General features: G+C 43.7%; 1 protein-coding gene across 10 annotated transcripts in view, besides 1 other annotated feature; it reads left to right on the top strand.

The window, feature by feature from the left end:
• Window positions 1-15636, top strand: part of WDR59 (WD repeat domain 59) — a 113762-nt gene that overhangs the window by 17640 nt on the left and 80486 nt on the right. For 7 of the 10 annotated variants that reach the window (XR_007064915.1, XM_047434639.1, XM_047434638.1 and 4 more), the window contains exons 2-3: window positions 1662-1711; window positions 10874-11009. Coding sequence is in view for 6 of the 10 variants with exons in the window: in XM_047434639.1 (XP_047290595.1) it covers window positions 1662-1711; window positions 10874-11009 (186 nt within the window). In the remaining 4 variants the exon portion in view is untranslated. Of the gene's footprint in view, window positions 1-1661; window positions 1712-8031; window positions 8135-10873; window positions 11010-15636 lie in introns of all 10 variants that reach the window. The other 3 variants (XM_047434642.1, XM_047434640.1, XM_047434641.1) reach the window with 2 other exon arrangements.
• Window positions 3695-3915: a silencer, noted in NCBI's record as "fragment chr16:74997467-74997687 (GRCh37/hg19 assembly coordinates)". NCBI's record gives its function as "represses an EF-1alpha promoter that drives an FKBP-Casp9 reporter gene in an ReSE screen in K562 erythroleukemia cells {active_cell/tissue: K562}" and the evidence as "EXISTENCE:reporter gene assay evidence [ECO:0000049][PMID:32094911]".

Raw genomic sequence — 15636 nt, 5'->3', positions numbered from 1 at the left:
ATAGCAGGGAAGAGGTGTGTATATACCAAGGGCCTGGAATCTTGGGGGCTGTTAGGATTCTGCCTACCACAGACTCCCCAGAAAGATTACACAGATCTTGTTAGAGGAACCATCTTGCCCTCCTCCTTATCATCTCCTTACTGTCTGTAAATTGCACAGAGGAATCCTGGAAATGGCATCTCATTTCACTGCCTGCCTTTCCTTCTGGGCTTCGCTCTGCTCCTGACTCTGGTGCACTGAAGGATGCATGTTAATCACTTTGCAGCCTCCGGTGAGAGTACTCTGGCTTCTTGTCCCCAATGTTACTTGTGATGTTTCTTGAGGGTAGATGACTTGAGAAATCCACTAAATAAGGCCAGCGAGGGTGAGGGAAAGAAGGTGCTTACCATTTGTGATTTGTGATTGTCGCAGAATGTATAAAATGGATTCTTCGTTGATACTGTCTTGGAGAGAACTTAGAGCATTTAATAACCAAACAGTGGCACAAACTGTTTCATGATACTGGCATGAGAGTGCAGCAGGATTTGAACTTGTCCAAAGAAATTCAGGGCAATAACTGCCTGGATTAAAATAAGCCTTGTGCTCAGCCTGAATGCACATTCTTTGGACTCATTGCAGTCTCTTGGGAGTTAGACGTTGGCTCCTGAAACGATGTGATAGTGCTCCCTGGGAATTGGGAGACCCGGGAAATAGAAACCAGTTAAATGCACTAGAAATTTCAGAGCGAATGTGACCTGGGGATGTCAGTATCCAGAATATGACCTTGGATTCAGCAGGGGTGGTGTCTGAATATTGCCAACTGCCATATGGCTTGAGGAGAAGTCCATGCCCTTTGGAAAGTCACGGGTGTCTTGGGTGTGTGTGGGGTGGGGGTGTCCAGGTTAGGTTTCACTTGCAAGAAGGCTCTTTGTTCATAGTAGCTGCTGTTTTCTCTGAGCTAGTCAGCCTCCCCATGGGCTCCAGGACTTCTGTCTCTTCAATTTATTTATTTTTATTTATTTTTTGAGATGGAGTCTCAGTCTGTTGCCCAGGCTGGAGTGCAGTGGCTCAATCTCGAGTCACTGCACCCTCCACCTCCCACGTTCAAGCGATTCTCCTGCCTCATCCTCCCGAATAGCTGGGATTACAGGTGTCCACCACAACACCGGGCTAATTTTTGTATTTTTAGTAGAGTTGGGGTTTCACCATGTTGGCCAAGCTGGTCTTGAACTCCTGACCTCAGGTGATCTGCCTGCCTTGGCCTCCCAAAGTGCTGGGATTACAGGTGTGAGCCACCCCGCCCAGCCTGTCTTTTCAATTTAGAATGTACCAGCTTGGTTGCATGTAGTCTTGGTGTGGGGGTAACAGGTAGCAACTGCCCTATTGTCAAAAATGAATGTGTACTTGGGAGGCTGAAATGGGAGGATCACTTGAGACCAGGAGTTGGAGTCCAGCCTGGGCAACATAGCAAGACCCTGTCTCTACAAAAAATAAAAAAAGTGAATGTGGAATTGGGTTGTAAATTAGAAGTGGGTGGGTAGAAGCATCCACTGTAGAGAACTAATGATACCTGCGAGCTGGGGACTTCTTGGGAGACAGGAAGAGGAAGAGCCACAGAGACCTCTGCCTTCTATCCCCGGCTGGGTTTGCTGGCAGCACTGACTCTGTGTTCTCTCTCTCAGGCAACTGCGATGTCTGTGGACTGTCTTGGGCAGCATGCAGTGCTTTCTGGGTAAGTAAGCTTGCCGAGTTTGTCTGCCATGATTTCTGGAAACGATTTGCAAATCGGGGTTTCTGGGAACTTGGAAGCTATTCTTATATTTACGGATTATGATCATAGGGTTTAGTTCTGATATCCTGTTTGCCTCAGGGCTACTCGGAGGGATTATTTGCAGTTTATTTTAATCTCTGCCCTAATAGGTAAGCAATAAAACACCTTTGAAGTTTTAGTGACTGGTAGCTTGAACTTGAAATTGCAGTTTTCTGTTTACTGCAAGACTCAAGGATGTTTGCTACTACATACCTGAAGGATGAAATCTATTTTGGTGAAGCAGGTGGTTCCTAGGATTGAAGGAATCTGAGTTCCAGTTTGACGGTGCCACTAACTGTGAGCCCCTGGACATTTATTCAGTTTGGCTTAACTGGACTTTGGTTTTCTCATGAAGGAATTTGATTTCATCATGAAGGAACTGAATGACAAGTTTCTGTAGCATCTTCTGGCTCAAAATTTTTAAGACTGGCAATTAAGGGCCATCTCTGCTTTTCTAATAACCCTAACATCGTACTATTGGGATAAAATGTAATAATCAAGCCAGGCATGGCCTGTAGTCCCAGCTACTTGCGAAGCTGAGGCAGGAGGACCACGTGAGCCAAGGAGTTCAAGACCAGCCTGGGCAACATAGCAAGACCCCATCTCAAAAAAAAATTTTTTTTTTTTTTTGAGACGGAGTTTTGCTCTTGTCGCCCAGGCTGGAGTGCAGTGGCGCGATCTCGGCTCACTGCAACCTCTGCCTCCTGTGTTCAAGTGATTCTCCTGCCTCAGCTTCCCAGGTAGCTGGGATTATAGGCACGTGCCACCACGCCCAGCTCATTTTTTGTATTTTTAGCAGAGACAGGGTTTCACCATGTTGGCCAGGCTGACCTCGAACTCCTGACCTCAGGTGATCTACCTGCCTTGGCCTCCCAAAGTGCCTCCTAAAGTGCTGGGATAACAGGTGTGAGCCACCGTACCCAGCCAAAAATTTTTTTTTGATGGTCATGGTCCCCTTTTCCTTTCGTGTTGCTCTCGAGTACAGTCCTTACCTCTAGGATCCACTGTATTTTCATTAATGTAGTTGTTTATGAACCCATTTACAAATCAGTGAAAATATTTTCTTTTCTATCAGCTTCATTACTTTATTTTGAAATTATGTTTTAATTTACCTTTTTTAAAAAAGTATACAACATGGTAAACGTGTAAAAATTTCAGAAGGATATACAATGAAAAGTAAATTTCCTTCCTACCTCTGACCACCTCCCTGGAGAAAATTATTTATATCATTTTTTTGTGTGTCATACTGGGTGCCTAGATAAGGGAAAGTTGGTATCTCTTTTCTGCCTCCAGCTCCCTGCTCTTTTTTTTTTTTGAGATGATGTTTCGCTCTTGTTGCCCAGGCTGGAGTGCAGTGGCACGATCTCGGCTCACTGCAACCTCCGCCTTCCGGTTTCAAGTGATTCTCCTGCCTCAGCCTCCCGAGTACCTGGGATTATAGGCGCCTGCCACCATGCCCAGCTAATTTTTGTATTTTTAGTAGAGATGGGGTTTCACCATATTGGCCAGGCTGATCTTGAACTCCTGACCTAGTGATCTGCCCGGCTTATTCTCCCAAAGTCCTGGGATTACAGGTGTGAGCCACCGTGCTTGGCACACATTTTTACTATTTTTCAACATGATCTTGAATCTTTATATTTCATTTTCTTTCTTTTTTTCTTTTTTTTAGAGATGAGGGTCTTGCTTTGTTGCCCAGGCTGGTCTTGAACTGCTGGGCTCAAGTAATCCTCTCACCTTGGCCTCATTTCATATTCTCTCTCTCTCTCTTTCTCCCTTTTTCTCTTTCTTTCTTTTGAGACAGGGTCTCACTCTGTCACCCAGGCTGGAGTGTATTCGCTGATGTGATCTCGGCTCACTGCAGCCTTGACATCCCAGACTCAAGCAATCCATCTGCCTCTGCCTTGGCCTCTTGAAGTATTTTCTCTTCTTTTTAAAAAAAATTTAATTTAATTTTAAGTTCCAGGATACATGTGCAGGATGTGCCGGTTTGTTACGTAGGTAAACGTGTGCTATGGTGGTTTGCTGCACCTATCAACCCATCACCTAGGTATTAAGCCCCACATGCATTAGCTATTTATCCCGATGCTCTCCCTCCCCCTGGCCCCCCAACAAGTCCCAGTGTACATTGTTCCTCTCCCTGTGTCCATGTGTTTTCACTGTTCAGCTCACACTTATAAGCGAGAACATGTAGTATTTGGTTTTCTGTTCTTGTGTTAGTTTGCTGAGGATAATGGCTTCCAGCTCCATCCATGTCCCTGCAAAGTACATGATCTCTTTCCTTTTTATAGCTCCATAGTACTCCATGATGTATATGTACCACATTTTCTTTATTCAGTCTATCATTGGTGGGCGTTTGGATTGATTCCATGTCTTTGCTATTGTGAATAGTGCTTCACTGAACATATGCGTGCATGTATCTTTATTTTTATTTGTATTTTTTTTTGAAGACGGAGTCTCTCTGTCACCCAGGCTGGAGTGCAGTGGCATGATCTCTGCTCACTACAACCTCTGCCTCCCGGGTTCAAGCAATTCTGCCTCAACCTCCCGAGTAGCTGGGACTACAGGTGCACGCTGCCATGCCTGGCTAATTTTTTGTATTTTAGTAGAAACGGGGTTTCACCATGTTGCCCAGGCTGGTCTTGATCTCCTGAACTCAGACAATCCACCCACCTCGGCCTCCCAAAGTGCTAGGATTACAGGCATGAGCCACCGTACCTGGCCATATCTTTATAATAGAGTAATTTAGATTCCTCTGGGTACATACCCTATAATGGGATTGCTGGGTCAAATGGTATTTCTGCCTCTAGGTCTTTCAGGAATCTCTCACCTCTCCTACTCAACATAGTATTGAAAGTTCTGGCCAGGGCAATCAGGCAAGAGAAATAATGAATATTCAAATAGGAAGAGAGAAAAAAAAAAAGAAAAAAGAAAAAATAAATAGAGAGGAAGTCAAACTGTCCCTGTTTGCAGATGACATGATCCTATATCTAGGAAACCCCATTGTCTCAGCCCAAAAGCTTCTTAAGCTGATAAGCAACTTTAGCAAAATTTCAGGATACAAAATCAATGTGCAAAAATCACAAGCATTCCTATACACCAACAATAGGCAAGCAGAGAGCCAAATCATGAATGAACTCCCATTCGCAATTGTTACAAAGAGAATAAAATACCTAGGAATACAGCTAACAAGGGAAGTGAAGGACCTCTTCAAGGAGAACTACAAACCACTGTACAAGGAAATCAGAGAGGACAGAAACAAATAGCAAAACATTCCATGCTCATGGATAGGAAGAATCAATATCGTGAAAATGGCCATACCTCCCAAAGTGATTTATAGATTCAATGCTGTTCACATTAAACTACCATTGACATTCTTCACAGAATTAGAAAAACTATGAAATTCATACGGAACCCAAAAAGAGCCTGTATAGCCAAGACAATCCTAAACAAAAATAACAAAGCTGGAGGTATTACGCTACCCGACTTCAAACTATCCTACAAGGCTACAGTAACCAAAACAGCATGGTATTGGCACAAAGCAGACATATAGACCAATGGAATAGAATAGAGATATCAGAAATAAGACTGCACATCTACAACCATCTGATCTTTGACAAACTTGACAAAAACAATCAATGGGGAAAGGATTCCCTGTTTAACAAGTGGTGCTGGAAGAACTGGCTAGCCATATGCAGAAAATGGAAACTGGACCCCTTCCTTAAACCTTATAAAAAAATAAACTCAAGATGGATTAAAGACTTAAATGTAAAATCCAAAACTATAAAAACCCTAGAAGAAAATCTAGGCAGTACCATTCAGGACATAGGCATGGGCAAAGATTTTATGACAAAAACACCAAAAGCAATTGCAACAAGAGCAAAAATTGACAAATGGGATCTGATTAAACTAATAAGCTTCTGCACAGCAAAAGAAACTATCATCAGAGTGAACAGACAGCCTACAGAATGGGAGAAAATTCTTGCAACCTATTCATCTGACAAAGGTCTAATATCCAGAATCTACAAGGAATTTAAACAAATTTACAAGAAATAAACAACCCCGTTAAAAAGTGGGCAAAGGACGTGAACAGACACCTCTCAAAAGAAGACATTTATGCAGCCAACATATGAAAAAAAGCTCATCATTACTGATCATTAGAGAAATGCAAATCAAAACCACAATGAGAGACCATCTCTCGCCAGTCAGAGTGGCAATTATTAAAAAGTCAAGAAACAACAGATGCTGGTGAGGCTGTGGAGAAATAGGAATGCTTTTACACTGTTGATGGGAATGTAAATTAGTTCAACCATTGTGGAAAACAGTGTGGTAATTCTTGAAAGACCTAGAACTTTCATTTTCTTATATTGGGTTTTTTTTGTTGTTGTTGTTGTTTTGAGACAAGGTTTCACTCTGTTGCCTAGGCTGGAATGCAGATCACGGCTCACTGCAGTCTCGACTTCCAGGGCTCAAGTGATCCTTCCACCTCAACCTCCAAACTGCTGGGACTGCCGGCATGTACCACCACGCCTGTCTGGCTAAGTTTTTTTTTTTTGTAGAGACAGGGTCTCCCTGTGTTGCCTAGGCTGATCTTGAACTCCTGGGCTCAAGTTGATCCTCCTGCCTTGGCCCCCCAAAATGCTGGGATTATAGACGTGAGCCACTGCACCTGGCATTTTCTTATACTGAATTTTACAATATGTGTAGTAAATTGTATAAAGTGTGGTAAACTTAAGTAAATAGCTGAAATTTACAAATATATATACTCATGTAATCACCATTCTGATTAAGATACAGAAATTTTTTTTAGAACCTTGGAAGGTCCTTCAAATCTGGAAATCTGTATCTTTTAGTTTAGAGAAATGTTTCTGTATTATGTCTTTGATCATTTTCTCCCTTTTATTTTCCCATTTTCTTTCTCTCTCTCTTTTTTTTTTTTTTTTTATTTTTGAGACGGAATCTTGCTCTGTCACCAAGGCTGGAGTGCAGTGATGAAAACTTGGCTCACTGCAACCACCTCTGCTTCCTGGGTTCAAGCGATTTTCATGCCTCAGCCTCCCAGGTAGCTGGGATTACAGGTGAGCGCCACCAAGCCCAGCTAATTTTTGTAGTTTTATTAGAGATGGGGTTTTGCTGTGTTGGCCGGGCTGATCTCAAACTCCTGACCTTGGGTGATCCACCCACCTCAGCCTCCCAAAGTGCTGGGATTACAGATGTGAACCACGTACCTGACCTCATTTTCTCTTCTCATTCTTTCTTGTTGGAATTCCTACTAGTAGTCAATGTTGGATATCTTGTATGACTTTGCTTCTGGCCTCGTCAGTTTTGCCTTCTGGGAGTTTTAAACTTTAGCTTCTTTCTTTTTTTTAGATGGAGTTTCGCTCTGTTGCCCAAGCTGGAGTGCAGTGGCGCGATGTCGGCTCACTGCAACCTCTGCCTCCTGGGTTCAAGCAATTCTGCTGCCTCAGCCTCCCAAGTAACTGGGATTACAGGCTCACGCTGCCATGCCCAGCTAACTTTTTTGTATTTTAGTAGAAACGGGGTTTCACCGTTTTGCCCAGGCTGGTCTCAAGCCCCTGAGCTCAGGCAGTCTACCCGCCTCGGCCTCCCAAAGTGCTAGGATTACAGGTGTGAGCCACTGCGCCCGGCCTAAACTTTAGCTTCTAACACTACTTTCAGATTTAAAAAAAAAATTTCAACTATTTTAATTTTCAAAAAATTTCAACTATTGTTTTAATGTTTATTATTATTTATATTGTCTCTTAACTCTTGGAAAATATTGGTTCCAAGATTTTTTCTCTTCTGCATTTATCGCCGTTTCCTTTGAATTTCTTCTTTTCTTCTTCCTCTTTTTTTTTTTTTCTTATTGTTATTATTTTGGAGGGCGGTGGGGAGGCAAGGGAGGAGTTTTTTCTTTCCTTTTCTTTTTCTGTTTTGTCACCTAGGCTGGAGTGCAGTGGTGCAATCATGGCTCGCTGCAGCCTTGAATTGCTGGGCAAGCAATCCTCCCATCTCAGCCTTCTCAGTAGCTGGGAGTACAGGCACATGTCACCACACCTGGCTAATTTTATTTTATTTTATTATAATTTTTTTTTCTTTATGCAGATAAGGTCTTGCCAGGTTGCCCAGGCTGGTCTTAACTCCGGGCCTCAAGCGATGCTTCTGCCTCGGCCTGCAGCACTAAGAGTTCCAGTGTGAGCTGCTGCTTCCAACCATGAAGGCTTTTTTCCTTTCTGTTGCATTAGTCCCTATCCTTCAGGTTTCCTCCGGTGACTGAGATCGTTGGCTGCTAATGCTAAAGAGCGACTGGCATCTCTCTTTAAGTGGGTAGACGGTGGAGGAGATCAGGTGGGAACCAGGCCCTGTTAGTGGATGTCCAAATGTCATTGTCTGCAGAGTTTTGTTGTTGTTTGCTTGCTTTTGTTTTTTCCTGGGCTGGTTATTTTCTCCTGAGAAGTCTATCTGAAGAGTAAAAGGCAGAGTCGTGAGTGCTGCATAGAGAGAGGAATGACTTAGTGCAGCACTTCCCACTTCCCAGGTCTGGGGCTGCTCTAGGGGAGAATAGCACCCACTCTCCACTGAGGCAGCCACCTGGGTGGATGGGTTGCACATAACCCTCTCCTTAGTGTTTTTTTGTTGAGATGGAGTTTTGCTTTTGTTGCCCGGGCTGGAGTGCAATGGTGCGATCTCGGCTCACTGCATCCCCTGCTTCCCAGGTTCAAGTGATCCTCCTGCCTTGGTCTCCTGAGTAGCTGGGATTACAGGCATGCACCACCATGCCTGGCTAATTTTTTTTTTATTAGTCAGGGGTTTCTCCATGTTGGTCGGGCTAGTCTCGAACTCCTGACCTCAGGTGATCCATCCGCCTCGGCCTCCCACAGTGCTGGGATTATAGGCGTGGGCCACTGTGCCCGGCCTCCTTAGTGGTCTTTCAAACAGGTGTCCTAGTTTTGTTCTGCTTGTTGTCTTCTAGCCCTACCCCTTGCCCTTGTCTTGAGACAAAAGCCTCCAGTTGGGGGGAAGCAACTTGCTTCACACTCATTTCTCTCTCCATGTACTTTGGCTTTATTTAGCTTGTTTTTTTTTTTTTTTTTTTTTTTTTTTTGAGATGGAGTCTCAGCCTGTCCCCCAGGCTGGAGTGCAGTGGTGTGATCTCAGCTCACTGCAACCTCTGCCTCCCAGGTTCAAGCAATTCTCCTGCCTCAGCCTCCTGAGTGGCTGGGATTACAGGTGCCTGCCACCAATGTTTAGCTAATTTTTTAGTATTTTTAGTAGAGACAGGGTTTCACCATGTTGGCCAGGCTGGTCTCCCACTTCTGACCTGAGGCTATCCACCCACCTTGGCCTCACAAAGTGCTGGGAATAGAGTTGTGAGCCACCATGCCTGGCCTATTTAGCTTTCTTTAGATCAATTACCATTTGTCCACCTGTTTTTCATTTCCTGTCTCATTTTCTTTGTCTTTGGAGGTTTTTTGTCTTCTTTACTCTTATTATAGTGGAGCATTGGGGAAAATGAAGATAAACACCTATGTTCCATCAGGCGTGTTCACCCTGAAGTGCCCACTTTCTGCCTTTGTACATTTGCCCTGTAAAGTCTCTGCAGCCCCCTATTGATACTCACCTCACATGTATAGCTACTAGCCTTGTCCTGTTGTTCTTCTGATGGGACGATGCCAGCTGGCCATCGCAGGATCAGGTGATTCCTTTGGAGCAGGCCAGAGATTCTATGTGATATTTGTTCTGCACTTTCTTAGAAGTCCTGGAAATTCTGTGAAATTGTGTATTCCCCTGGCTTTTCTTCTTCTCCCTCCATCTTCTCTCCTCAGAGTTCTGCTACCACCTAGAGTTTTGTATGCCATTTCCTGGCTCTTCTGAGCAGGGATGATTAATCTTTTTCTTCATTTTTGAGCCTGCCTATTCTCATTGATCTCCAGGGGCTTGGAGTGGTCTCTAGCAAAGAATCAATAGCTGATGGCTGCAGAGATGTTGATTCACACACCAAGGGTATTTTACTTAAAAAGAAAATAGGTGAATGCAGAACCTCCCTGTTTTCAGATCCTTCATGTTGATTGGAACCTTAAACATTACTGGCACTTCATATGTTATTTTAATTATTATTCCTTTTTGTTGTTATTGTTAACCCTCCTGATAGATTTAGTTGAGTTTTCTTGACCAGGAAGTAGTAAGGGGAATTTTGAGATTTTCTGCTTCTACAGGATTTTGGCTTAGTAATAAGTGATATGTTTAATTTAACTCACATTTGTTGAGTGCAGAGCACTGAGCCTGGCGATGTGAAGCATACAGAGATATTCAAGACAGCCGGGCATGGTTCCTTGTGCCTGTAATCCCAGTACTTTGGGAGGCTGAGGCAGGTGGATCACCCGAGGTCAGCAGTTCGAGATCAGCCTGGCCAACATGGTGAAACTCCGTCTCTACAAAAAATGCAAAAATTAGTTAGGCGTGATGGTGGGTGCCTGTAATCCCAGCTACCCGGAAGGCTGAGGTAGGAGAATCGTTTGAACTTGGGAAGCGGAGGTTGCAGTGAGCTGAGATCATACCACAGTACTCCAGCCTGGGTGACAGAGCGAGACTCTGTCTCAAAAAAAAAAAAAAAAAGAAAAAAAAAGATATTCAAGACATAGTTCATTCTCTGAACACTTAGTTGATTCAGGACAAGAGCCTTAAATTATTAGTCCTGCTACAAGATAAATGCTGTGGTCAAAATGCAAACTATGCAATGGGAGTAATGTGGAATTAATTAATTCAGTAATTAACCCTAGCTGGGGGATTGGGAAAGGCTGGGAGAAGGGCAGGTTGGAGGTGAATCCAGACTCTCATGGATGGATGTGGTAGGGAAGGCCATCTCTGGAGGTGGGACTCTCACAGGGACACTTCTTCCCTTTGTGTGACAGCCACCTTGAATTACACTTGTCACTTCTTTGCCTTTCAGAGTAAATAAATGCCATGTGTGTTTGGGTTTTTTGGAGCACTGCTTGCAAATTGTATGCAATTCCAATTGTGCTTTTCTATCTTAATGCTAATGATGTTGTGTTTTTATACTATTATAATGTTGATGTTGGTCTCTAGCCGCAGATTCTTATACATCGTCAATCTAGATGCCCCTTTCGAAGGTCACCGAAAGATCTCTCGCCAGAGCAAATGGGACATTGGAGCTGTGCAGTGGAATCCTCATGACAGCTTTGCACACTATTTTGCGGCTTCGGTGAGCTTATTTAAGGAATACAGGAGAATGCTGTTAAATGTGTCATCTGGGGCTGGCAGATCTATGCCCTGTGTAGAGAAGAGAATGCAGTCCTCATTGCTCATTTGGAAAAGAGGTTTGGATGGTTCTGAGAAAAAGACAGAGGCAAGTTACGGATTAAATATACGTGGGAATGCTCGCTGGTCCCATCGGTGTCAGGCCTTGTATTACTAGGGACTGAATTCAGATTTTGAAAGGGAAACAGGCAGATGCATCCATTTCTGTGAGTGGTGAGAACCTGTTTCATCAGCAGCAATGTAACTAGCCAGCGGACAAATGGCAGATGACTTTGAAAGACATTCTAAGGAGGGTAACTGGCGAGCTGGTGTGGAGTTGACCTTCATTGCTTTCAGAGGGATCAGAAGACTCCCCCTACCCTTCTATTCAAAGGAAGGGATTCTTCCTTGATTGGGAATCATTAGATTTCGTTAACCCCATCAAATTCTATGTGCCTGTTTATGTGTGATTTTTTTTTTCCCTAGGGAAAACATGTATAAGTTTTGTTAGGTTTTCTAATACAAAAATCTTTTCTTTATACAAAAAGATTCTGGACTACAACCTGTCTGGCATCTTTCTCCAGATTCTGTGTCACATTGTATTCTAGAATAATGAGAGATCTAAACTTTTTGCTCTTTTTGCATTGGGCTGGCAGGAGAGTATTTAAAGGAATTCTTCTGATTCACCAGGGGCAGGACCACTGTGCAGTCTGTCTCAGTCTGTTCTTGTCAGGAAAGGCAGTCTGCAGAAGGAAAGCAACTGAGCAAGGAAAGAAGAGCAACTTTGTCAGCTTGAGAAGGAACAGAAAGCCGCCCTTCCCAGCTATTTCCAAAATAGAGTCTGCCTTTAACTGTGGATGTCCGAGGTTGCGCTGATTTTCAGGGCTATTCTCAAAGAGAAAGGCAGAGTCAGTCTTCCTGCCTTTCTACTCTCAGGCCTCTTTCCTGAGTGCTAGAAGGAGCTCTTTTAGTTGGTTTATACCTCGGGACCCTTATTTCCCTCTCACCCTCGGCCCCTGATCGTCTAGTCCAGGGTTTTTTAACCTTGGCACTACTGGCTTGTTAGGTCATTCTTTGTGGTGGGGCTGTCCTGTGCGTTGCAGGAAGTTCAGCAGCATCCCTGGCCCTACCTGCTAGATCTCAGTAGTATGCTCCCCACCTGTTGTTATGACAATCAAAAATGTCTCCAGCCACTGTCAGATGTCCTCTGGGAAGCAAAATCACCTCTGATTGGGTTTAGGCTGACGCCTCAGTTGTTGTACTCAGTGGATTAACACTGCATTTGTTCGGGAGTGCTAACAAAGACAGCCTTTTTAAAATTTGTTCCTTCACAATTAATCATTTTAAAGTGAACAATTCAGTATCCTTCACTGCATTCACATGTTGTATAACCACCACCTCTATCCAATTCCCAAACATTTCTATCCCTCCCGGGTAAAACCCTTTATTCATTAAGCAGTTTCTCCCCATTCCTCCCTCCGTTGCAACCCCTGGCAACCACCAGTCTGCGCTCTGTCTCAATGGATTGATCTATTCTGGATCTTCCATAGACATGAAATCATAAAACAAGTGGCCTTTTGTGTCTGACTTCTTTTACTTAGCATAATGTTTTGAAGTTCATCCATGTTATAGCAGGTATCAGAACTTCATTCCTTTTTATCAGTGGATAATATTCCATTGTGTAATTGTTTATCTATCCGTCCATCCATCAGAGGACATTTGACTGGCTATTGAATAGAGCTGGTATGAACATATGTGTGGAGGTACTTGTTTTTGCTTCTTTTGGGTAAACATCTAAGAGTGGAATTGCAGGGTCATATGGTAATTCTGTGTTTAACTTTTGGAGGGAACCACCAAACTATTTCCACAGTGGCTAAACCTTTTATACTCCCATCAGCAATGCACAGAGTTCCAGTTTTTCCACATCCTCTCCAAAATTTATTTTTTGTATTTTTAAAAAAATTATAGCCATCCTAGTGGGTGTGAAGGTGTGAGGTGGTACTTTGTTATGTCTTTTTGTTTGTTTGTTTTGAGACAGAGTTTCACTCTTGTTGCCCAGGCTGGAGTGCAGTGGCATGATCTCGGCTCACCACAACCTCCACCTCCTGGGTTCAAGCGATTCTCCTGCCTCAGCCTCCCAAGTAGCTGGGATTACAAGCACACATGATCACGCCTGGCTAATTTTGTATTTTTAGTAGAGACAGGGTTTCTCCGTGTTGGTCCAGCTGGTCTCAAACTCTCGACCTCAGGTGATCCACCCACCTCAGCCTCCCAAAGTGCTTGGATTACAGGCATGAGCCACCGCACCCAGCCTTATTGTGGTTTTAGTTTATATTCCCCCAGTGACTAAGGATGTTGAGTATCTTATTGGCCACGTATATGTCATTTTTTTGGAGAAATGTCTATTCAAGGCCTCTGCCCTTTTTCTTTTTTTTTTTGAGACGGAGTCTCGCTCTGTCACCCAGGCTGGAGTGCAGTAGTGCTATCTCAGCTCTCTGCAAGCTCCACCTCCCGGGTTCACGCCATTCTCCTGCCTCAGCCTCCCAAGTAGCTGGGACTACAGGCGTCCACCACCATGCCCGGCTAATTTTTTTGTATTTTTAGTAGAGACAGGGTTTCGCCCTGTTAGCCAGGATGGTCTCGATCTCCTCACCTCATGATCCGCCTGCCTCGGCCTCCCAAAGTGCTGGGATTACAGGCATGAGACACCACGCCCGGCCTTGCCTCTGCCCTTTTTCGAATTGGGTTGTTTGCATTTTTACTGTTGAGTTGTAGGAGTTCTTTATATATTCTGGATATTAGACCTTTATCAGATGTATGATTTGCAAATGTTTTCTTCCCTTTTGTTGATTGTCTTTCTGCATTCTTGACAGTGTTCTTTGATGCACAAAAGCTTTAATTTTAATGAAGTTTATCTGTTTTTTTCTTTTGTTCTTGGTTGGAAGGCAACTTTTTTTTTTTTTTTTTGAGACGGAGTCTCGTTCTGTTGCCCAGGCTGGAGTGCAGTGGCGCCATCTCAGTTCATTGCAGCCTCTGCTTCCCAGGTTCAAGGAATTCTCGTGCCTCAGCCTCTCAAGTAGCTGGGACTACAGGCACGTGCCACCATGCCCAGCTAATTTTTGTATTTTTAAGTAGAGATGGGCTTTCACCATGTTGGCCAGGCTGGTCTCTAACTCCTCACCTCAAGCGATCCCCCTGCCTCAGCTTCCCAAAGTGCTGGGATTACAGGCATGAGCCACTGCCCCTGGCTGGAAGGCAACCTTTTGAGAAAGCTTTAGTTAGGGAAATCTGAGGTCAAGTCCTAGTTTTAACATTCTGTCTTTTATCTTGAGAGGCCCCACAATTTTCTGAGCCTTGCTTGCCTCATCTATAATGTGGGTGATGATACCCGCTGTGTCGTGTGCTGGGAGAGGTCAGAGGCCAGATTCGTTAAGGTGGACTGGCACTAGCAGACCCTCCAGAAATGGCAGGGAATATTATTAGAAGAGGGAACTTTTCTTTTCATTCCTATTCTCTTTGGAAGCTATTTTGAATCCTAACCTTTTCACAAGAATCTTACCTTTTTCAATTTGGAAACTGGTATTTCAGGACAAAAATCTCAGAATTTTATACGTCTGTCTGTCTCTGAGCTAAAATGACAATCAGTCTAATGTGTATATATATATATATATAATTTAAAAAATTATTAAGTAGCCTGCCGTTGTTTTCAGCCTACTAGTAATCTTTATCACTTTCAGTGTGTTTCATAAAGTCATGATATGTCGGGAGCCTTTGCTGTTTTGTTGTGTATTTAAGTGAAATGTACTTTGATGGAAGTTATTTTTCTATTGTAGCTGTGGTTTCTTCTGGTCCATTTTCCTTGTCACTTTCTGCTTAACCCTTTAAGAAATTAAATACAGGCATTATTTCAAGGAGTGTTAAATAATTTTGCCTTCTAGGACACCCTTTTGAGGATCTTTCTTCTTTTCTTTTCTTTTTTTTTTTTTTTTTTTTTGTTTGAGATGGGGTCTTGCTGTGTCACCCAGGCTGGAGTACAGTGGCACAATCACAGCTTACTATTGCCTCGACCTCCCAGGCTCAAGCGATCCTCCCACCTCAGCCTGTCAAGTAGCTGAGACCACAGGCATGCACCACCATGACTGGCTAATATTTAATTTTTTTTGTAGAGATGCGATCTGGCTATGTTGCCCAGACTGGTCTTGAACTCCTGGGCTCAAGCAGCCTCTTAAAGTGCTGGGATTACAGGCATGAGCCACCAAGCCCAGCCTCTTTTTTCTCTCTTATGCACCTATGTTTTTAAAGTGACACGGGACCCAGTTGTGATGGCGCAGTCCTCACACCTCACACCTTATCCCAGCTATCCTAGACTCTGAGGCAAGGGGATTGTTTGAGCCTAGGAGTTCTAGAAAAGCGTGGGCAATGTAGATCCCATCTCAAGAAAAAAAAAAAAACAAAAACCTGTGGTAGGTGGACTCTGGGCATTTGGTCATGGAAGGGTGAGCTGGAGACATCCAGTGTACCAGCAGCTGGGGAGACGAGTGTGTGACCTTCAGAGGGAGGAGGTTCCTCTAGTGGCCGGGACATTTTCCTGG

This window comes from Homo sapiens, chromosome 16, assembly GCF_000001405.40.
Source record: "Homo sapiens chromosome 16, GRCh38.p14 Primary Assembly".
Lineage (NCBI taxonomy): Eukaryota > Metazoa > Chordata > Mammalia > Primates > Hominidae > Homo > Homo sapiens.
Note: the sequence above shows the minus strand (reverse complement) of the source record. Positions and strands in the feature narration are given on the sequence as shown.